Source organism: Homo sapiens, chromosome 11, assembly GCF_000001405.40.
Source record: "Homo sapiens chromosome 11, GRCh38.p14 Primary Assembly".
NCBI classification, from domain to species: Eukaryota; Metazoa; Chordata; class Mammalia; order Primates; family Hominidae; genus Homo; species Homo sapiens.
The window spans coordinates 31204916-31229946 of NC_000011.10; the positions used below are offsets into that span (position 1 = coordinate 31204916).

Genomic DNA, 25031 nt, shown 5'->3' on the forward strand with positions numbered 1-25031 from the left:
TTTGTTGCAGACCCTTCAAATTCAGTCATGCCATTTCCAGTCTATATAAAGTAGAGTTGGCATTGACAATACTCTCAGTAGGCTTTGGATTCTGAGCCAATGGAATATCACTATAGGCACCTTCTTATCTATAAGAGTTTTCTCTTAATTCAGCAGACCTGTTAGTCACACTGTGAAACCTTCCTGCTGGAGGAATTCTGGGTAACAATATATAAGATAATCATATTATAGCTTGCTTTTCTAGAAGAGGCCTGAACAAACTACAACCTACAGACTAAATCCAGTCTGTTGCCTGTTTGTATAAATAAAGTTTTATTTACGTATTGTCTATAGGTCCTTGTATGGTACAACAGCAGAGATTAGTAGTTGAAACAGAGGCTGTATGGTACACAAAGCCTAAAATATTACTATCCAAGCCTTTCCAGAAAAGAATTACAGACCCTTGGCCTAAAATATGACAAAATGTTGCCTATTAAATAAGCATACTGTAAACATATTTAAGAAGTTAGGTTTGGCTGTCTAGGGTAATAATTGATAGTACTGCTGGGGTGATATTTCCAGAGTTAATGTTATTGGATCACAATAAAGGAAAGGTACTTTGTCTGCTTCTTTTAAGTACAATTCTTATTCTTTTGACTAATAAAAGTAGAAATAGATCTTACAGGTTACTTGTGTAAGTGCCAATATTAATTCCATCATATGAGCTCCAATGGTATTTTAAAATCTATTAATAATTTATCCTCGTAAAGTTATGCATAGGTATTTCCAATCACTACCATTCACCTTAGCCCTCTTAGCCTTAGCAACCTAGAGTTGTCAGATTTGCAAATAAAAATTTAAGGTGCCCATTTTATTTGAATTTTAAATAAACAATGAATAATTTTCAATATAAGTATGTCCCATGAAATATTGGAGACATACTTATGCTAAAAATTATTTGCTGTTTATCTGAATTTCAAATTTAACCGGCTGCCCTATAATTTATCTGGCAACCCTACTTCTATCTCAAAAGCTGAACCTTACCTCATAAATATCTATACCTACTATGTACACATAAAAATTAAAAATTAAAAAATTAAAGCTGAAACTTTCCCACCTATCACTGTCCCCAACGACCATGAACATTACTGCGATAGATGAGTTTTAGATGACTTTAACAGAATTTTTAAAATACTTTCCTCTATCTTCAAGGCAAATGGATAAAGAATCATCAATGGATATTAAAACCAGTAGGTGAAAAGTTGATATGAAAATGAATATTTGCATAGTGCTCATAGATTACTTGTGGTTAAAAAGGGAAAAGTATAACTTTACACCCTTACCTCAAAGCCCATTGCTGAGAGTGGGAGGAGGAGACAATACGTTCCTGGTGATGTCAGGCAAAGTGAAATACAAAGCATCAGCTGGGAATTATTCCTGCCAAAAATGTTTACCCTGAATCTATCCAACTCTTAAGATCATGAGATCTCAATCTAAGGTCCATGGATTTCTGTGTTTGTTTGTTTGTTTGCTTTTTGAGATGGAGTCTCGCACTGTTGCCCAGGCTGGAGTGCAGTGGAGTGAACTCCGCTCACTGCAACCTCCGCCTCCCAGGCTCAAGTGATTCTCCTGCCTCAGCCTCCGGAGTAGCTGGGATTACAGGCATGCGCCACCACGCCCTGCTATTTTTTTGTACTTTTAGTAAAGATGGGGTTCCACTATGTTGGCCAGGCTGCACTTGAACTCCTGACCTTGTGATCCGCCCCCCTCAGTCCCTCCAAAAGTGCTGGGATTACAGGTGTGAGCCACCGCGCCTGGCCCAGGTCCATGGATTTCTAAGGCATCTGTGGAAAGAATTTCAGAGATTCAGACCTTCAATGGAGAAAAGATGAATTCCCTATTTATTCTAACTTATTAAAATTTAACATGCCCTTCCATTATAAATGTAGACATCACATTACAATCAGTTTAGCAATACTTGGGACTTTCAATATGAGAAATCACAGGTAATTTCATAAAACATTATAGTTGTATATATTTTTAATATTGTTTACACTCAACTTTGAAATAGAAACAGGGATGGGAGGCAGAGTTTTGTCTATCACTAAAAATGTTGCAAATAACAAAATCCTACATTACAAAGATTTAGTACTACATATTTTTATATCTACTTTGGTGAAAGCCAGTATAGTATGACATACCTTCGGAAATTACTTAACCCTTATGTACCTATTTCCTCATTTGCACAATGAGATAATAATAGAACCTGTAAATGGGGTTGTTTTAAAGATTAAATGAGACAACATATGTAAAAGTGCTTAGGCCTGTGGCTAGTACACAATAAGCAACATGAAATGTTTGTTATTACTAAAACTAAATATTATTCAGGTGATATTATAAATATTATACTAAATATTATAAAGGTAAATTCTGATTATAAAACATACAAGACATAAAACCAAGTTAAGCAGAAGGGTGTCCATGTGTGTCTTCTTTGATGAATTCTTTCTTCCCAACTGGTATTTGTGCCATAAATAAGTGTTGATTGAGTTATTCTGTTCCTAGCTAAAACAGGTAACCAAATGAGAACTATATCATCTTCTCTCCGCCCATTTTACCAGCACACCTGCATGTGTGCTCACAAACTCCATCCTTTTCCCTGTTACATCGGATGAACTGTCTATTCTCCTGAAATTATATAATGGATCTTTTGCAATATCAGTTGTCCTCCTTTATCTGATTATTCATATTTAGCATGCAAACATGCCTTAATGTAAAATTCACTTTAAGGAACCCTCCCCTGGCCACTCAGCCCCTTCTATTTCTCTACTCTGCTTACCTCAACACTCTGAAAAAGTTGTCTATACTTCCTTTCTACTTTTTCCCATTCCCTTCAACTTACTCAAATCAGATTTTCATCCTCACCACACCGTCCAAAGTGTTCTTGGCAAGGTCACTAAAAACCAACATCTAGTCAAGGCCAATGGTAATTTTCCATTGTCTTCCCACTTTAATCATCAGCAGTATCTGATATGCTTCATCACTCCCTCCTTAAATATTTTCTTCTCTGAGTTTTGTGTCTTAACAACCACCTATTCCTTCTCAGCTTCCTTAGTTGATCCTTCTTTTACTCAGCCACTGGACATTGCAGAGTCTCAAGTTCTGGTATCTTTATTTTCTTTATCTATCCTCTCACCCTTGGTGATCTCAACCATTTCCATGGTTTTACTTACTATCTATATATTAATAGTTATATATTAAACTTGTATCTCTTACCCAGATCTCATTTCTGTCTGTTCAATTACCTACTCAGCCTCTTGGTTTGACTACCTAATGGCAAACAATCTCCCCTTCACCCCAGTTTTCTTTATTCAGTAAATGGAGCCAATGTTTTTGGCTCAGGCTAACCCCAGAAGTAGGACACATCTTGCATTCTTGCCTTTCCCTCACACACAATATCCAATCCAATGGTAGATTCTTTCAGGACTATTTCCAAAATATATCCTGAGTCTTATAATTCCTCATAATTTTCACTATAGAGTTCATGCAAATCAACTTCTACTGGATAAAATTCAACAGCCTCCACTCTTTGGAGGTTTGTCTGTCTCCGCTCATCCTACAATGCCTCCTCCACATACGAGTCAGCATTATCTTTCTCAAGCACACATTAGTTCATGTCACCTCCATGCTTAAAACTCCTCAATACTTTCCAAGAGTAAAAAAGAAACTCCTTACCATGCTCCACAAAGCTCTCTATGATCTGCATGTCCCCACCTCACCACCAGTCATCATACTCCAGTCCAACAGCCTTATTCCTCTGCTCCTCAAATGCACCACTCTGTCCTACACCAGGGCCTTTGCAATTGCTTTTGCTTCTTCTGAGAAAGCTCTTCCCACAATAGGTTCACATGTCTGGATCTTTCTTATCATTCAGCTATCACCTCCTCAGAGACTGCCTTATCAACAAAAACCAAACCACTAGCCATTCTCTGAAAAAATGTCCTATTTCATGTTCTTGATAGCATCCAACAGCACCTGAAATTATCTTTTTTTTATGTTTTATTTTCTGCCCTACCCCTCAGCAAGCTCTTTAAGGCAATAACTCAGCCTTGTATGCGTGTACATTTCTCAATTCCTAGAGTGCTTGGCAGATAGTAGATACTCAAATAAATACATGCCATTGAACATGGAATTTGAGGGGTCAGGAGAACATGATGTTTAACGGATACTTGGAAATTCAGTCTGAATTTAAACAGGTACTAATTGTAGAAATACAAAATTTGCAGTCACTGACACAGAGGTAGGTATAGACACTACTGAAGCTACCCAGAAAGAAACAGTAGGAAAAGAAGTTAGAAGTGTCCTGGACTTAAATAAGTTAAGTACGTTCCCTCCGAGGTAACATACCTGGCAAAGGCAGGGAATGGTAGTGATTTCTAAAAAGGAGAACACAAGGAATAGTCTGAGAGGGGAAGTAAAACCAGAAGAGTTCACAAAAGCCAGGGAGAAGATGGCTTCCCAAATCAATTAAATAGTGTCAAATATTACAGAGTGGTTGAAGATGATAGAAAGCCAGTGATTTGAATAACTAGGGATCATTATTGCCCTTTTCCACCTTTAGTTAATTAACTGTATTTTGAAAATTAAAGAATAAACTCCAGTGAAATAAAAAGTCCTGAAACATCTACAATGCATGGTTGACATATCTCAGAGGGGCAGTTACTGCATAGCAGATTTCAGCCAGAGCTGATTGAGTCTGCAGAGTCTGATTGAGGCAAAAGTCATTTAAGGGGTTGGACAATGACTGAGTAGTAAGAAATTTAAGGCAGAGAATAAAAACTCCTCTTCTGAGTTGTTTACCAACAGAGAGGAATGCTGGAAAGGTATGTCAAGAGAGTAGAAGAATTGTGGAAAGACCTCTTCAAGCAAGGATAAAGGAACAAGCATGAACGGGAGAGAGGCCAATGCATAGAGAGAGATAAAGGAAAGTAAAAGAAAGAGGGACAGTCAGTCCACCAGACACAATGAGATGATGTGGGACCAGAGAAAACAAATGAATGGGGTTGGCCTTGCAACAACTAGAGTCATTTCTCCCTCCTTTCACTTTCATTATTAATTGAATGAGCAAACATGCATGTCTACCAGTGTCTGCTACATGGGGGGTATCCGATAAATCCTAGTTTCTCCCCACATCCATGCCCATATATTTCTTACCATAAGTCAATCACCCTTCAAGTAGAATTTGGTGTGCCAGTTCCTCAGGCTGCCAGAGCTTTCTGGTTTTCTCTGCTTTTCTTGAATGAAGAAAGTCAGTGCCCTCCCACGCAAAGAGAAGGTAGTTCTTCCATAGCAAAACCTTTTACATGGCTGAAGACATTCTATGTCACTGACTATCAATTGTTCCCAGTTCCAGAAAGGTACTATACTCCTGTGTGAGTCCCAAAGTAGGTACGAAAGGAATGTTTATTGACTGAATGACTAATAGCATTTATAGCTAGCATTTACTGAGCTCTTACTGTGGAGTTAAGAATGGACCGGCCGGGCACGGTGGCTCATGCCTGTAATCCCAGCACTTTGGGAGGCCGAGGCAGGTGGATCATGAGGTCAGGAGTTCAAGACCAGCCTGGCCAATGCGGTGAAACCCCGTTTCTATTAAAAATTCAAAAATTAGCTGGGCATGGTGGCACATGCCTGTAATCCCAGCTACTCAGGAGGCTGAGGCAGGAGAATCACTTGAACCCGGGAGGCAGAGGTTGCAATGAGCCAAGATCACGCCACTGCACTCCATCTTGGGCGACAGAGAGAGACTCCGTCTCAAAAAAAAAAAAAAAAGAAAGAAAGGAAAAGAAAAGAAAAAAGAAGCAAAAGAGAATGGACCAAGCACTGTTCCCAGATCTTTTCATATATTAATTCATTAATACTAACCCTAAGATATCTTCATTCAATAAATAAAACCTTGAAGCACAAAGAGGATATCTTACTCACATTCACACGGTAAGAGGCACCTCCGGATTCTACTGCCTCCTTGAATCCATGAATGGATAAATATCTCTATTACCCTGGAATCTATTCTTTTTCTATCTAGGCAAGCAAGTTTCATAAATTCTGAAGAAGGCTATTTTGCAAGAGGCCAAACTTACTTGGTTGATCTCTGGACTACTTCAGAAAACATTTATGACTTTTACACTTGAGACAAAGGGACTGCTCTCATCTGTAGATGATCATCCACCATGACTTCATGAGCATATTCAAGACTCCATCTTTAGCAATCAGACTGAGCTTGGGGATCAGAGCTAGACTGTATTTCTCACACTACATTATTCAAACTATCCTAACCATAAAATCTAACAATATGTAATAATTATGATGATAAAGCATATATGATGTCTCAACTGGCTATACTAGGATACACTCAATTTTCTATTTATTTAAGACCATATGTATTTATCAGAAACAAGTATTTGTATACACAATTGCACAACTGCATCCTCAAAATGCGTGACTACTATCCACATGCCTACTACCTGAATTGCTTTTAATTATTTGCACTATCGCCCCATCCCACCTGCACTGTTTTAAGTTGTGAGGCCTAGGGATTTGAGAGTTAATTTCAATATGAGATGAATTAAACATGCTTCCTGAATCGAGATTACATGAGTTAATTACTTACAGACATGCCTAGATACTTTGTTCTTTAATCGGAAAAAATCCATATGGAATAATCATTTTCAGTATTTTTAAGGCCTCATGTATACAAGCTGTCAATGGTGCAGTTTTCCTTTCGTATTTTCTGCTACTCTACATAATGTAGACTCTATAAGCAGTTATAGTTTACGTTCCATATAACGTGTCATAGAATATCTAAACCTCCAGGTTAACTTACTGAGCTTTAAAAAAAAGCTAAGCAGCCGGGCGCAGTGGCTCACACCTGTAATCCCAGCACTTTGGAAGGCCGAGGCAGGTGGATCACGAGGTCAGGAGATCGAGACCATCCTGGCTAACACGGTGAAACTCCGTCTCTACTAAAAATACAAAAAAATTAGCTGGGCATGGTGGCAGGTGTCTGCAGTCCCAGCTACTTGGGAGGCTGAGGCAAGAGAATGGCATGAATCCAGGAGGCGGAGCTTGCAGTGAGCCAAGATCGCGCCACTGCACTCCAGCCTGGGCGACAGAGCGAGACTCAGTCTCAAAAAAAAAAAAAAAACAGCTAAGCATAGTTAAGTAATACCTTTTAAAGTTTTACAATGTAAATAAACGAATTAAATTTTATAGTAGTAATATAAATTTTTAAACTCCCAACACAATTGCAAACATAAATTCTGTATGAATGAAAAATTTCACTGTAAAAAATAAATATACTAGAGGAAAAATATACCCTTACAATGCGAAAATTTTGTTTTTCCTGATTAAAAAAAACAAGAAACTATTTTTTTAAGTTTTAAGAGGTGATTAAGTAGAAATTTAACTGCTATATATCAAAACACACTAAAAAATGTATAAGACAAAGGACAAATTTAGGGAGAAATGTATTACATTTTTATATAACAGGTAATTTAAACACACACCCCATAAGGAATGCTTACAATTCAATAAGAAAGATGAACATAGCTAACTGGGCAAAGATATGAATGGGTGAATTATTAAAAAAATACAAGTGAACAATAAACCTACAGAAATATATGTAACTTCACTACTAATGAATTAACAGATTTTTCAAATGAGATTTTTTTAAATCTATCAGGCTGACATGGGTGAATAAAAATGACGATGCAAGAAAACGGTATATTAATTTATCTTTGGATACAATGTAAATAGGCTCAAACTTCCTTTTAGCTATTAGGAAATATCTGGGGAAAAAATAAATCTGTATTTTTTTCAGTAATTCTAATTTTAGGAGTTCATATTCAGTATTACTAGCAAAAATATACAAAACTGTGTACAAGGACATTAACTGCAATGCAGCAATGCTCATTGTAATAGAAATTGGAAGAAACCTAAATGTCCATTAGTAGCTATATATAACTGTTATGTAAGATGTGGTAAACCTGTGTACTACGTGAAGAAGAAATTCTCCTGGATGCCTCTGCCCTCCTAGGAGGAAGCTTTCTTCCTTCTCTCTGCTCCTCACTTGCTCTTCCTTATTAGATGATCCAGACATAGACATGTGCATTGGTGAAACTGTGTCATCTTCTATATAAAGCCCAGCCTCTCTCTCTCTCTCTCTCTCTCTCTCTCTCTCTCTCTCTCTCTCTCTCTCTCTCTCTCTCTGCTTTCTTTACCAGGGCAGTGGTTTGCTGTCCTCCAAGAAAGGCATGTGGCTCTTCAGTCACTTCACCCCAGTCTGGTTGGATATTTTCTATTCAGGGTCTATTTTCGCCTCATGTCAAAATGATCTTTTCAAATTTAGCCTTATCATTGGTAAGTAGAGACTGGATTTTAATTCCTGCCTGGCTCCTGAGTCTATTTATCAATTTGTTTAACATCTAAAGTAGGAGTATTAAATCCCCAAAGCTTAACACAGGCATTAAAAGTGGTCACCTTCAGCAGGGGGCGGTGGCTTATCATGTCTGTAATCCCAGCACTTTGGGAGGCCGAGATGGGCGAATCACAAGGTCAGGAGTTTGAGACCAGCCTGACCAACATGGTGAAACCCCATCTTTATTAAAAATACAAAAATTAGCCAGGCGTGGTGGCGGGCACCTGTAATCCCAGCTATTCAGGAGGCTGAGGCAGGAGAATCACTTAAACCCGGGAGATGGAGGTTGCAGTTAGCCGAGATCACGCCACTGCACTCCAGCTTGGGTGACAGAGCATGACTCTGTCTCAAAAAAAAAACAAAAAAAAAAGTGGTCATCTTCTACTACTTTTGACATGTAAAGAGGTCCATGACATAGTAGATAATAAAACAAGAATATTACTAATATTACCGACTATTACTTGTTTAAAAAAGGGAGTATGTATCACTCATATTAGAGAAAAAGAAGTATTTATTTATATTGTTGAGTGTGTACACATGTACATGTATCTACACATACATATATATATGAATATGCCTAGAAAATGTTATTAACAGCAATTATCTCTGGGGAATAGTTTTGGTGGGGGGGACTTCCATTTTATAATTTATAAATTTCTGTAATTTTACAAAAGATCATTAATTCACTTATAGGATAATTGCTACATTTAAAAAAGATGGATAAAAACATTAATTCATTGTAAAAAGTTTTTTTTATCAAAATAAGGTGAATAGGTGACCACATGGGGCCTTGATTCTTTCTGTTGTACTGTTGCAAACAATATGTCTCCATAATTAGAAATGTGTGCATATATAATCTCCCAGACTATTACAAAATACAGTCTTTATTTACCGAGATGAAAATCTTGGAACAAGGGTTAATACTTTACCTATATGAAACTTTAGTTGATAAGGTATAAAATTATGAACAACAATTTTTTGAAAACTACATTTCAAAATGTATAATGTAAAAGTAGATTTAAACATTTAAACTAATGGTAGAATTTGATTTTAATTTTTTTTTAAGAGTCAAATTCACTCTGCTGCACACAGCAGGATCTAGAGGAATTATCAGTGGGCCTGAGATGGGTAAAATCCTCAGTGTGGTAGGGAGGGGAGGTGCCTCCTGACCACGCCCTCAATGAGCATTATGCAGATTAGAAAGAGCCAAACAGGCTCTGATTTCCCCCAAGGATTGATGAACAAGTACAAAATAATAGGAAGTGACAGGAAACAGATGACTGAGGTCTAATTTAATGTCATTTGTAGAGACAATATACCTTAAATTGGTCTTTAGAAATTACAGGTTACAAATAAGATAACAGAAATGTGTTTTTATCATTTTAATTCACTAATACAAGTTTCTTTGTCAAGGGAAAGAGATTATTTGTTCTATAATACAGATAAATTTCAAATATATGTTAATTTAGGGTAATTTATGCTTCTTACCTTCAATAATTTAACTAACATAAGAAATAAATTACTATAAAAACTTCCATAATTAAATATAAAGGTGAAACTTAATATTTTTATATATTTAATATTTTAAAATATTCATGTCATATAAATCTAAGCAGGACATTTTAATAGTTACATATTAAACTGATGTGTATATATAAATACAAGTGAGTTATTTCATCAAATCTATGTCTAAACTGGGTGAGAAGTCCCACATTTTAAAAATTAAACTTATCTAAAGCAAATTCAAACATGTGTGAACAACTAAAATAGAAATTTCTTAGAAGTGCAGTGGCTCACACCTGTAGTCTCAGCAACTCGGAAGGCTGAGGCAGGAGGATCCCTTGAGCACAGGAGATTGAGGCTTGCCTGGGCAACATAGTGAGACCCAGTTCTCTAAAAATAAAATAAAATAAATAATTCATAAATAAATACATTTTAAAAATAAGAAATTTCTGTTGAAAACTAATATAATGAGAGGTTATGACATGTGTATGTGTAGATAAGATACACATGCATGATATAGGTGTTTATGTCATGTGTATATCTATTTACAAAATCTCCAGTTAACCAAAATTGTAAATCTTTTGTTAGCCACCACTTAAAACTTGTCAGCTACTTCTCTGCCTAAAAATGGAGGCAGCAGGCCTGGCGCGGTAGCTCATGCCTGTAATCCTAGCACTTTGGGAGGCCAAGGTGGGCAGATCATGAGGTCAGGAGATTGAGACCATCCTGGCCAACATGGTGAAACCCCATCTCTACTAAAATACAAAAAATTAGCCGGGCATGGTGGTGTGCGCCTATAGTCCTAGCTACTCGGGAGCCTGAGGCAGGAGAATCATTTGAACCCGGGAGGCAGAGGTTGCAGTGAGCCAAGATTGTGCCACTGCACTCCAGCCTGGTGACAGAGCAAGACTCCATCTAAAAAAAAAAAAAAATGGAGGCAGCAGGAATCCTTTTAAATTGGGCCTTTTTCCTTCTAAAAAGAAGCTCTTGAGTGGCCTTTGTTAGTTTCATAAACATAAAAGAAAAATGCAGTTAATGCTCTGGGGAAAGAGTGTCACAGATTCTTATTTATGGCTGCCCATCTCATACCTCTGCCATGCAGAGCCAAGGAGCATTTAGGGCAGAATGTGATGGAGTTCCTGCCCTCTTCCCTTTAGAGCAATTAGAGCTGTTAGTACAGCTTCACTAATGCAATGAGATGGTCCCCACTGAGGTGTGTTAATAGGAAAGGACACCAAGAAACTTCAAAAGGGAGAATCCCAGAGAAACACTGGAATTCCTGCTAATCTGGGCAGAAAGGGGTTGCAACTATTAATATGAATATTAACGTTATTTTCCCCTAGTGGCAAGGGATCATAGAAAATGGGCATGATAGACATGGGTAGACAGATAGAGGATTAGATATACACAGAAATTTCCTAATGCTTACGAATTGGAATTTATAATACATACATACAAAAACTTTGAGGTAAATTTATGCTGTAAAAGCTTATAGCAGTTGAATTCACCTTTCAGAATCCATGAAGGTGCTGAGATACTACTCTGCACTCTTGAGCAGAACTTTGACTTGTTCAGCTGAAGTGGCAAACATTTGCAAAAGGGGCAGATCTACACTGTAGAATCCAAACTACTTAAGAAACCTTACCCGGCCATTTAGCCCACTGCAGACCTCAATTCTACTGAAATGACAAGCAGATGTCATAAAATCAAACTAGAGATTTTTGTCCCAGATCAGCTATGGCATCTGGATGTCATAATCTCAAGGCAGGTGCTTCATAGTTCATGCACAGAAACCACCTCCAGCCATCCCAATGCTTACCTCATAGATAAGCCCAGACAGTACTAGTTACTCAGGGTCTTAGCTTTCCCCATACAAGACAGAGATGGTCTGTGGCCTTCAATTTTAAAAGATCTCCCTCATTTTCCCACCTCTGAACCTCATGCTGAAGCCTAGATTCTGTGCTGACTGGGTTTCTTGCTTTTACTCTCAAAATAGCCAGAGTAGTCTACAAAGCATAAATCAGTTCCTCTCATCCCTCAATGTTTGGTTTCTAAATCTTTATTTTAAAAATTAATTCTACATGTGAACTTTACTTCAATAAATATGTTTATTAATTAACATAGATTGTATTTCTCTTAGAAACAACATTACAAATGGGGTGAAAAGGGCAATAAAGAAGGATCCTCCCTGCTGGGGTAAATCACTCCCCCTCCTCTACATTAAGCCTACAACAGGGAGAGGGAGATGATAGAAAAGGGAGGTAAGAGGCACACTCAACTTTTAACATTTCACAGAAGTGTCAAAAGCAAGCTGTCATTTCACAAAGATAAATTATGGGAAGAAGCAGGTGCAATGTCTTTACTTTTGGTCTGTGCTGATTTGCATATTTGAAAATAGGTAAGTCTATTTGTAAGTATATACAAATTTTTATGTATAATCTGAACTATATGGACTTCAAAGTGATTTTAAGTCAATTTTTTAAAAAACTAAGTTTTTAGATACTCTGATCTGGAGGACTATAAACAACTCCGGTCGATTTTGAAAAGCTGTCATAGTAAGTTAAATCACAAATGGGTCAAGTATATATGTATACAAAGGAAGAGCACAAACTAGTCCATATTATCCATCTATAAGTTAGACATAAAATAGAAAACTAGAAGCACCTCTGTAAGAAAAGATCCAAATGTTATCACTGGAAACTATCTTCTACAGAAAAACTATGTACTTCTATATGTGCCATCCCATTGTTTATCCACTGAAACTATTCTGTTTCAGGCAAGGATATACTCAACTCAAAGGGGAATTAATTACTGAAAGACAGGATATTTTAAAAATAAGAAGTAGTAAAACACATATTATTATAAATGATACAACATTTAATCCCACATGCATGCTAATAAGATTTTCTTTCTAAATTTAACAAAAGTCACTAAAGTAATATCTCTTCATTTTTATAGAATTGTCAGAGAAGTAATATGCAAGTGGAATTCAACTGAAAAAATAGATTTTTTCATAATGTGTACTCTATATCTCTGCCCATGTCTCCCAACAAAGATAGTGTGTCCAATCTGTTTTGGCTATTGGCTATTGTTTGAAAATCTATGCTATATATTTCAAAGAAATATCAGCATTACAAAATGCAGAAATATCTCCTCTCTAAAATATGTACCCACTAAGTGGAGAAAACCTTTTTTCCTAAATTTTTATCTTTTACTTTTTATCTTTTGTCATTTGCTTTAAGAAAAAAAAAAGTCGTAATATAAATATTTCCAAAGCAGAAAATATAATTACAGATTTTTTTAATTAATGAGAACATTGAAAAAGAAGAGAAAATATTTCTAATGTGTACTGAAGTTCTCACAAAAGCCAAAACACTAGAAAACTAATGCAATTGATAATACACATTGGTATAAAATACAAGATATTGTCATCATCATTCTTCTCAAAAGCTTTTCTCTTGATACTCTAAGAATAAATGTTTATAGGGAAAAAATTAAAGCAATCACTTCCTTTTCAAATCCAACTTTCTATGTTTCCAATTTCAAGTCACTACTTAAATGTAACAAAAGATTCTGTTTTCCTTAAAGAGACATTCACTTTTTTAAAGCTATTATCATTAGAATGCTGCCTTGATTTTTATTTTCCCTGACATCAGGTTATTTGGGTTACATTTATTGCCCAGTGTCCAATGACATTTGCAGAGAGCTTCCAGAACTAAATTTTATCTTTTATGACATCAGCATAAATATACTTTTATAAAAGAAAAAAAGGGTCATAATAAAATGTAACAGCTAAATGTCAAACAGATGATAAGTTGGAGAGGATTAAAAACTCAGTGTCTAACTCTAAGTAACGTTAATATTTCAAACCTATATTCTAACTTTTAACTTGAAGCTTTCTACCTTCATTCTTCCTCCCTCACTCCCATTAACTAGTATATTAGTTGTGTACCAAAACTGGAAAAATCCCAATATTATGACAAGGTCCTAATTTTTAGTAAAATTTGGTGGGTAGATATGTAATTTTGCTGAAATTAGATGGCAGAGCATTCTGAGCATATGAGGTGCTGCTTTAAAGTAATGAGGCTGATTCTCATGCATGGCTTGAAGAAACAGTGAAGGAGTGATCATAGCAAGGACAAGTTTAAACAAGCTTTGACCTGGAAGAACGGAGCTCCGAAGGCTGGCCAGCCCATGCCTGAGTTGGTGCTAAAGAAGCACACACACTCTCACATACATACACACACACACAGCCCACATTACAAAGCAAACAATTTAGAGCACAAAACAATTTACAGTTAAAAAAAAAAGTAAAAATTTTAGAATAAATTTAGATTTTTAACAAATGTATCTGCAAAATAGTACATGACCTGTAAAAAGAAGCTGGAGGGGATAAAGTTATGTCAAAAACAAGATTTTTTTTAACTGATCTCAAAAATTTCATTAAGAAAATAAGACTCACTCTCACAATACTTCAACCTAGCTTGAGTATCAGAATCAACTCTAGAGCATTTTCAATAAACTAGCCCCCTGGTCCTGCCCAGGTCTGCTGAATATAAACATGAGCAGAGGCGGGACCTATGTGATTCTGATGCTGTCAGGCTTAGAAACCCCTTACTGTAAGACAGAAAATGTTGAAGATATGATATTTAGTGCATTCAAATAAATAATTGAAAGAAAGATGACCAAAGAGTTAAATTTAGTCAAAGAATTAGACTTATTCTAAAAGAAATCTTGAAAAGGGTTTTCATTCTTTCACTGGTTTATCAACAAATATACCAACTAAGGACAAGGCACTGTGCTCGACAAAGGTGGCAGGCAGTGATTGGATATGAGCAGAGAATGATGATATGATGATGGTAATAATAGCTAATATTTATTGTTTTCTATAAGCCAGGCACCATATAAGCACATATAAATTTTACCATTTTTAGGTATTATCTCATTTTTAAGTGTTTACAGGTATAATCTCACAACAATCCTATTATTAACCTCATTTTACAGATAAGAAACCTGAAAACAGGGGTTAGTTAACTTGCCTAAGACCTCAGAGCTGGTTAAACACGAAAGCCTGGACTTGACCTGAAGCAATCTGACTCCAGCCCCCACACCTGAAACAGTACAGGATACTGGATTGGCCAGAAAATTTTTTAAAATTACTCTGAAGATACGCCATGAATTTCATGTGAACAGAAAAAGAGAAGATTTAATAACAATAACCCTATATTCTAGGAAGTCCATGTCAAAATCACCAGTGAAGATAATTTTATTTCTTTGACACAAATGACATTCTTATAAAATTCATACCACAAAATAAAACACTCAATAAGGATTATCATGTACAATTCCTGAAGCATTTAGAAGAATCTTTGAAACGTGTAATGGGCAATATTTATCTAGGAATTAGGTCCTAATGAAAATACGCAGCTTCATAATATATTCTTGATGAAACTATTTTTGATACTTAATACTAAATGTTTCACCAAATTTAACAAAAATTACTTTTTGAATTTCCAAAAATTTAAATTCACACTGCAAAGATGTAAACATCATCACTGACAATATTCAAAAGAATGCAATTAAGGTAAATCCAAAATGGTTTTGAGCAAGGCAGTATTGCTAAAATAACCTCACAAGATTGAAGTCTGCTTACTGTACTCAGGCTGTGTAATTTCTGATTTATGTTTGTTTTTAAAAATCAGATGCATTATGTTATATTTACACTTTATATTTTGTATTAAAATTTTATGTAAGACAAATCAACTTTTTAAAAATTCAACATGTCTGATTTTACAATTGATGTTAAAAACCAATTTTGAATGTGCAAAGTACCATTTGAACAAGAAGACTCTATTAGTCAGCTTGAGCTACCATAAGAAAATTCCATCGACTGGATAGCTTAAACAACAGCAATTTATTTTCTCATAGTTCTGGAGGCTGAAATCCAAGATCAGAGTGCGAGTATGGTCAAGTTCTTTCGAGGGGTCTCTTCCTGGGTTGCAAACAACTGCCTTTCTGCTGTGTCCTCACATGGTATAAAGAGAAAGACAGATCTCTGGTGCCTCTTCTGATAAGGACACTATTCCTACTGGATCAAGGGCCTACTCTTATGACTTCATTTAACCTTAATTACTTCCATAAAGGCCCTACTTCCAAATATAGTGGCATTTGGGGTAAGGGCTTCAATCAGAGAATCTAGGGGGAACACAAAGTCCATAATATTCCATATGTGGAATATTAATTCATGTCCTTCTTGCATGCGAAACACACTTATTTCACTCTAATTGTCCCAAAAGTCTTCACTCATTCTACCATCAATTCTAAAGTCTAGAGTCTCAAGTAAATATCATCTAAATCAGATATGGGTCAGACCCAAGGTATAATTCAACCTGAGGCAAAATTCCTCTCCAGCTGTAAACTTGTGAAACTAGACAAGTTATATGCTTCCAAAATACAATAATGGACAGGCATAGGATAAAGTTTCCATTCCAAAGGAAGAAATCAGAAGGAAGTGGTGACATGTCCCAAACAAGTCAAAAACCTAGCAATGAAAATTCTATTAGATCTTAATAATCTTCTTTGATTCAATACTCTGCCTTCCAGGCCCACTGGGGTGGTAGTGACCTTCCCCTTTTGTCTCTCCGCCCCATCCACATGGTTCTGGTGGATCCTGGTCCTGCCCTTTGAAAGATAAAAGGCAGGATATCTGACAGCCTTCCTTCATTCTGTCCCACTTTCTCTGTTCCCTTTAGTTCAAACTGGTAGTATCTCTGCTGGCATAACCCCATCTCCATTCCTGGTCTCTGCTGAGATAGCTAATTAAGTTTATGAATCACACCCATGATCTCTTTATCAAAGGGTTGCTCAGCCACACCTTTAGTGTTCTCTTTAGAACAAGCTTCCTCATTTTTTGCAATATGGATAGGCTAAGAATTTTCTAAATCTTTAAGCTCTGGGTCCTTTTTGCTTAACAATTCTTTCAATTCATCTCTCTCCTTTCACATTTTATTATAAGTAGTCAGAAGCAATCAAGAGGCTCTCCCAACACTTTGCTAAGCAATCTCCTCAGCTGAAAATCCAATTTCATCACTTGTAAGTTCTACCTTCTGCGAAACACTAGAACACAATTCAACCAAGTTCTTTGCCACTTTATAAGGATTACCTTTCCTCTAGTTTTTTGTTTTGTTTTTTGTTTTTTGTTATTTTTGAAACAAAGTCTCACTCTGTCACCCAGGCTTGGGTGCAGTGGTGTGATGTCGGCTCACTGCAACCTCTGCCTCCCAGGTTCAAGTGATTCTCCTGCCTCAGCCTCCTAAGTAGCTGGGATTACAGGCATGCACCACCAGGTCCAGCTAATTTTTTGTATTTTTAGTGAAGACACAGTTTCACCATGTTGCCCAGGCTGATCTAGAACTCCTGAGTTCAGGTGATCCACCCACCTCAGCCTCCCAAAGTGCTAGGATTACAGAGTGAGCCACCACGCCTGGCCTCCTCTAGTTTCTAATAACATCTTGCTTATTTCCACTGAAACCTCACCAGAATTACTCTTAACATACATATTTCCAGCATCACCTCAAAACTCTTCCAGTCTGTACCTATCACTCAGTTCCAAAGCCACTTCCACATGTCTAGGTATTTGTTACAGCAATATTCCATATCTTGGTAACAAAATCTGTCTTAGTCAGCTCAGGCTGCTATAACAAGCTACCATAGGCTGGGTGATTTAAACAGGGAAATTTATTTTCTCAGAGCTCTGGAAGCTGGAAGCTTAAGATCAGGGTGTTAGTATGGTCAGGTTCTGGTGAGGAGTCTCTGAGGGCTCTCTTCTGGCTCGAAGATGGCTGTCTTCTGGCAGTGTTCTCATATGGCAGAGAGAGAGTGTATGCTCTCTGGTGTCTTGCCTAGTAATTCTATTGGATCAGGGCCCTACCCTTATGACCTCATTTAACATTAACTACTCTATAAAGGCCCTATTCCCAAATATAGTCACATCAGGGGGATAGGACTTCAATATATAAATTTCGGGAAGACATAAATATTTGGCCCATTGCAAAGAGATTTTTGTTAATTAACAGATATATTTATAATGTTTAACCTTGAAAGTAATATAATTCGTGCTAATAAAAACAATAAACTATGTATATATTGAAATATCAAACATTAAAATATTATACATGATTCTGAAATAGTTACATTGGTACAATCATTTTGAAAGACTTACCAAGAGTTTAATACAGTCACCAACTTAGACTCAATAATTTTCAATTTGAACATTATCCTGAATAAATAATTGCAAAGAAATTGATTTCAGGAAAAGAAAACAATGATGTAATTATATTACAATAGGAGAATGGTTATTATGTACAATAGCACATATCCATAGTTGATCTCTTTAGCATTGCTCAGACATATCATTAACTATTATTTGATAAATAAGTCACAAAGGGTATGTATGTATGTATTTATGTATGTATGCATATGTGGGAAAATGAGGAGAAATGAGAATCTTATAAATTGCTGGTGAAAGTGTTAACTAATACAATAGCCATATAATGTAAACAGACAATAGCCCACAATGATATGCATACTGCATACTTTTTTCATACTAATTTTACTTCTAGATATATACCCTGGAGAAATTTTAATACATGCACGTGAGTTTTACATAAAGTACACAAATATTTGTAGGAGCATTGTTTGTTACAGTAAAATTTGGAAAGACACTAAATGTCTGTCAACAAGTAATAAGTAGACTGTAGTATGTTCATACAATAAAATGAATAAATTACTGTGTGGAAGTTAAAAGTCAATGCATAACATCTTTATATTTCAGCATAAATATGTCTCATAAATATAATGTTGCAAGTGCAGAGTGACATGTATAGTATATCATTTATATAAAGTACAAAAAAGGCAAAACACATATATATGTAATATATACATATAAATATGAACGTATATGCTTTAATATACACATATGCATATATACATATGATTGGTTTGGCTGTGTCCCCACCAAATCTCAACTTGAATTGTATCTCCAAGATACAATCCCACATGTTGTGGGAAGGACCTAGGGTAGGGGGAGGTCATTGAATCATGGGGGCCGGTCTTTCCCATGCTAGTCTCATGATAGTGAATAAGTCTCATGAGATCTGATGGGTTTATCAGGGGTTTCTGCTTTTGCTTCTTCCTCATTGTCTCTTGCTGCCACCATGTAAGAAGTGCCTTTAGCCTTCCTTCATGATTCTGAGGCCTCCCCAGACATGTGAAACTGTAAGTTCAATTAAAACTCTTTTTCTTCCCAGTCTCAGGTATGTCTTTATCAGCAGCACAAAAACAGACTAATACAACATATATGTAAATATATACATATACATATATATATAAGGACATCCTGGTCAATAAATGGTGCTGGGATAACTAGCAAGCCACATGTAGAAGAGTAAAACTGGGTCCACATCTCCCACCTTATACAAAACTCAACTCAAGATGGATCAACGATCAAAATCTATGACCTGAAACCATAAAAATTCTAGAAGATAACATCAGAAAAACTCTTCTAGACATTGATATGGGCAAAGAATTCATGACTAAGAACCCAAAAGCAAATGCAAAAATAAATAAATAAATAGGATCTAATTAAACTAAAAAGCTTCTACACAGCAAAAGAAACTATCAGCAGAGTAAACAGACAACCCACAGAGTAGGAGAAAATATTTGCAAACTATGCAGCAGACAAAAAACTAATATCCAGAATCTACATGGAACTCAAACAAATCAGCAAGAAAAACACAAATAATCCCATCAAAGGGTGGGAAAAGGACATAAATAGACAATTCTCAAAGGAAGATATACAAACAGCCAGCAAACATATGAAGAAAATGCTCAACATCAGTAATTATCAGGGAAATGCAAATTAGAACCACAATGAGACACCACCTTACTCCTGCAAGAATGGCCATAATTTAAAAATCAAAAAATAATAGATGTTAGCATGGATGTGGCAAAAAGAGATGTACCACTCTGCTGGTGGTAATGTAAACTAGTACAATGACTATGGAAAACAGTATGGAGATTTCTTAAAGAACTGAAAGTATAAAACTACCATTTTATCCAGCAATCCCACTACTAGGAATCTACCAAAAAGGAAAAGAAGTCACTACGTGAAAAAGACACATGCACATGCATGCTTATAGCAGCACAAGTCACAATTGCAAAAATATGGAACAAGCCTAAATGCCCATCAATCAACAAGTGGCTAAAGAAAATGTGGCATATATACATCATGGAATACTACTCAGCCATAAAATGGAATGAAATAATGGCCTTTGCAGCAACTTGAATGGAGCTGGAGGTCATTATTCTAAGTGAAGTAACTCAGGAACATACAATATCCAGAAAACTAAATATTTTACATTCCCACTTATAAGTGGGAGCTAAGCTATGAGGAGGCAAAGGCATAACAATGATATAATGGACTTTGGGGACATGGGGGAAAGTTGGGGGGGAGTGAAGGTTAAAAGACTACATATTGGGTACAGCATAAACTGCTCAGGTGACAGGTGCATCAAAATCTCAGAAATCACCACTCAAGAACTTATCCATGTAACCAAAAGCTACCTTTTCCCCAAAAAACTATTAAAATAAAATAAAAGAATAACAATATATACATATAAATATGTAAATATGTGTTATATATACATATGCATACATGCTAATATGTACATATACATATATGTAATATATATAATATAAAATATGACTGGAGATTCAGATAATGGTTACCTCTAGAGAGGAAGCACAGGGAAGAAAAATTATATATATATATCTAGGTAGATATATATCTATATCTACCTAGATACATATAGATATAGATATGCTTTATTTCCTGAAAAAAAAATCTGAAGAAAGGATTTGATCGAGTTGGATTTGGCTTACAGAAATGTTTACCCAATCTTTCGTGTCTGGAGTATTTCATTATTTTGAAATAAGGAAAACAAAGAAGTACATTCCTATTCCATATAGGAGAACAGGAAACACAGAGCTAGGAAGGAGTATGGTATGGTTATTGAACAGTGATAATATTAGCTTGACTTAAGAACAGATTCTAGTATTAAGGAATGAAGAGAAATAAATATGAACTGATAGGAGAATCTTGATGATGTAATACTTAAGGAACCACGCTGAGGAATGTAAGAGGAAAGATAGTATTTGTATTTGGAATATAATTTTCTCTTATATTTGGAATTTTGAAACTATAATGACTTAATTCCAGGCAAGCTGCTGTATCTGCAGCTTTCTTCTCTAATGGCTTCTTGCAGAACTGAAGGTGACTCATGTCCTAGTTCAGCCTGGTGGCTATCACAGAAACAAACCAAAATAAAGTACCCAGAAAAAAGGACTGGAAAAAAAATAAAATAAAATAAATGGCAAACTAATATTGTGTAACTAGAGTCCAGAAAAATAAGAAAGAGGGTTAGGAATAGAAAAAGTATTTTAAGACATAAAGGCCAAAAATATAACAAAAATTAGAGCCACACATATCCAAAAAATTCAACAAACTGTAAGAAGGTAAACCCCCGAATAAAAACACAAAAGACACTTCATGATCAAACTGCCAAAAAAAAAAGTGATCAATATAAATTCTTAAAAGCAATAAAAGAAAAAGTCATTACATAAAGATGTACTAAGGTAAGAATACTATCCAATGTTACATCAGAAACTTGTGATGAATAGAACAACATCTTTAAAGTCTGGGGAAGAAAATCTACTGACTTATTCCAAACTCAATGAGAAGGAAGGAAGATCTCAAAAAAGCAAGATCTCATCTCTAAAAAAAAAAAAAAAAGAAAGTTTTAACAAAAGACATTAAAAGAAGTTCTTCAGGCAAAAGGAAGACAACCTAAGAGGACGCTTGGATTTATTAAGGAATAAAGACTATCAAAACCCATAAGTATGTGGGTGAAGAAAAAGACATTTTTTCTCATTTTTAAATCTCTTTTAAAATTTTCTGTTTATATAGGAATACAAGATTTTCTGGGGAAAATAACAGATAAAAATAAAATAGACGACAACAGTGGCACAAAGAATAGGAAGGATAAATAAAAACATATGTTTCTTACATTATAATGAATAAGTATTATTCAAAGATGGAGTATAAAAAGCTAAATATATAAACAAAACATCCTAGAGCAACTACACATACACTCATGCATACAAAGCAAGCCAAAAAGATATAGCTAATAAGCTTATGGTAGCTGTGTTAGGCCATTTTTGCATTGCTATAAAGGAATGACAGAGGTTGGATAGTATATAAAGAAAAGAGGTTTTATTGGCTCACAGTTCTGTAGACTGTACAAGCATGGCTCCAGCATCTGCCTCTGGTGAGGGCCTTTGGAAGCTCATAATCATGGTAGAAAGTGAAGGAAGAGTCAACACATCAAATGGTAAGAGGAGGAGCAAGAGAGAAGGGGGAAGTTCCAGGCTTTTTTAAACAACCAGGTCTCACGTGAACCAACTGAGCAAGGGGATGGTGCTAAACCATTCAGGAGGGATTTACCCCCATGATCTAATCACCTTCCACCAGGCCCCACTTCCAACAGTGGGAATCACATTTCAACATGACACTTGGGGGGAAAAAAATACTAACTATTTCAGTAGCAATGAAGTGACCACAAAGAAACTTATTTTATCCAAAATAAAGCAGTTTAAAAAGATAAAATGATAAACAAATGAGACAAATAAAACACAAATGACAAGATAAAATAATTAAACCCAGTCATATTAATAATTATATTAAATGTAAATGGTCTAAACATCCCAATTAAAAGAAATTTTCAGAATGGAGAAAATAGCAAGGCCCAAAATATTATTTCTACAAGACAGAATATAAAGATATAGGTAAGTTAAAATTAAAGGATAGAAAAGTAAAAGGACATTATTTTATAATAACATTTGTGAAAAGAAAATTGGAGTAGCTTTATTAAAATAAAACAAAATGGACTTCAGAACAAAGAATATTACCAGGAATAAAGAGGAACATTTCATAAGGATTTTTAAGTTAATTTATCAATAAAATATAGCAATCTTAAAATAATACAAACCCAATAACAGCACTTCAAAATATATTTAGAAAACATTGTTAGAACTGAAAGGAGGAATAGACAAATCCAAAGTTACAACAAGAATAACAGAAGATGTGAAAAACTCTATCAACTAGCTTGAACAAACTGACATTGAAGAACACTCAAATCAATAAGACAGAACAAACATGGAACATTAATTTGGATATATTTTGAGCCATAAAGTAAATCTCAAAAATTTTCAAAGGATTAAAATTATACATAGTATGTTATCTGACCACAATGGAAACTAGAAACCAATTACAGAAAGATATACAGAAACCCAAAAATAATGGCAAATTAAACAACATATTTCTAAATAACAGATGTGAAAATCACAAGAAAAACTTTAAAGTCTTTTGAATTAAAGAAAAATGAAAACAGCGTACTGAAATTTGTTAGGCATAGCAAAAGCAGGGCTTTGAGGGAAATTTATAGCATTAAATGCTTACAATAGAAAAGTAGAAAGGTCTAAATCAATTATCTAAGCTTTTGCTTTATGAAACTAGAAAAAGAAATATCAATTAAACCCTACATAAGCAGAAGTAAGGAATTAATGAAGCATAAAATCAATGAAATAAATAGCAGACCAAAAATAGAAAATCAATTAGATGAAAAGCCATTTCTTGGAAAATATCAATAAAATTAATCAACTCAGCTAGACGAGTTAAGTAAAAAATGAGAGGTTAGAAATTGCCAATATAAGGAATTAAAAAGCAAATTCTATAGACTTCAAATGAATGATAATAAATATTATAAACATCTTTATGTCAACAAATTTTCAATTTAGGTTAAGTGAACAAATTCCTTCAAAGATCATTAAACTACTAAAGATCAAAAATAATTATGTAACATAAATAGCTACATGTTGAACATAAAGATAGGAACATGGAGGAATACTGGAAGGGGGAAAGAGAGAGAAGGGCTGAAAAACTACTTATTGAGTAGTATGCTCACTACCTGGGTGATGGGATCATTTGTACCCCAAACCACAGAATATAGCCATATAACAGACCTGTACATATACCCTGCCAAATGTAAAATAAAAGTTGAAATAATATAAGAGTAAACAAATAAATAACTATATGTCTACTAAAAAAAATTTAATTCATAATTTAAAACCTACCTGTAAACAAAACTCCAGGCCCAGATGGTTTTACTAATGAATTTCACCAAATACTTAAGAAATAATAGAGGTGGCAAACAAACTTGGAAAATAGAAGAGGAAGAAATACATCTCAACTCATTTGATGAAGCCAGCATTACCCTAATACCAAAATCAGACAAAGATATTAAAAGAAAAATAAACTATGGGCCAATGCCCCTCAAGATCAGAGATATAAAAATCACTAATAGCATTTAATAAATCAATTCAAGTAACATATATAAGGAGGATAATACATAATATATATGTAAATACTACATGAACAAGTAATGTTTATCTCAGAAACATAAGGTTTAACACTTGAAAATGAATCAACGTAATTCACTATATTAACAGTAAAAATATGTATATGAAAATCTCAATTATTGGAGTAAAAAGTATTTGAAAAAATATGTTATCTAAATTATGACCTGAATAATCAGACATGAGACCCACAAATTCTCACACAGTCCCCAGGAAACAAAAAGGTAGCAAAGTTGTAAGCCAGAAAGGCCTCAGATATTAAGGGCCAATGACCAATTGGCATTTATATCTAGAATGAAAGGATGGCGCAGCATAAGGAAATAAATGAATGTAATTCTCCACATTAACAAAATGAAGACTAGAAAACACAATGATGATCTGAATTGGTGCAGAAAAAGCATTTGGCAAAATTCAATACACTTTATGATAAAAACACTCCAACAAAGTAGAGATGGATGAAAATAAAAGCCATATATGAAAAGTCCACAGTTAACATCATATTCAACAGTAAAAGACTGAAAGCTTTTCCTCTAAAATCAAA

At 35.1% G+C, this 25031-nt stretch overlaps 1 protein-coding gene across 23 annotated transcripts in view; it reads right to left on the minus strand.

Annotated features, from left to right (window-relative positions):
• The window catches only part of DCDC1 (doublecortin domain containing 1), a 506137-nt gene that overhangs the window by 341313 nt on the left and 139793 nt on the right, over nucleotides 1-25031 (minus strand). Inside the window, exon 9 of one of the 23 annotated variants that reach the window (NR_170625.1) lies at nucleotides 10255-10348. The exons of the other annotated variants lie outside the window; for them this stretch is intronic. The gene's annotated coding sequence lies outside the window, so the exon portion shown is untranslated. The remainder of the gene's footprint in view (nucleotides 1-10254; nucleotides 10349-25031) is intronic. 23 annotated transcript variants of the gene reach the window in all.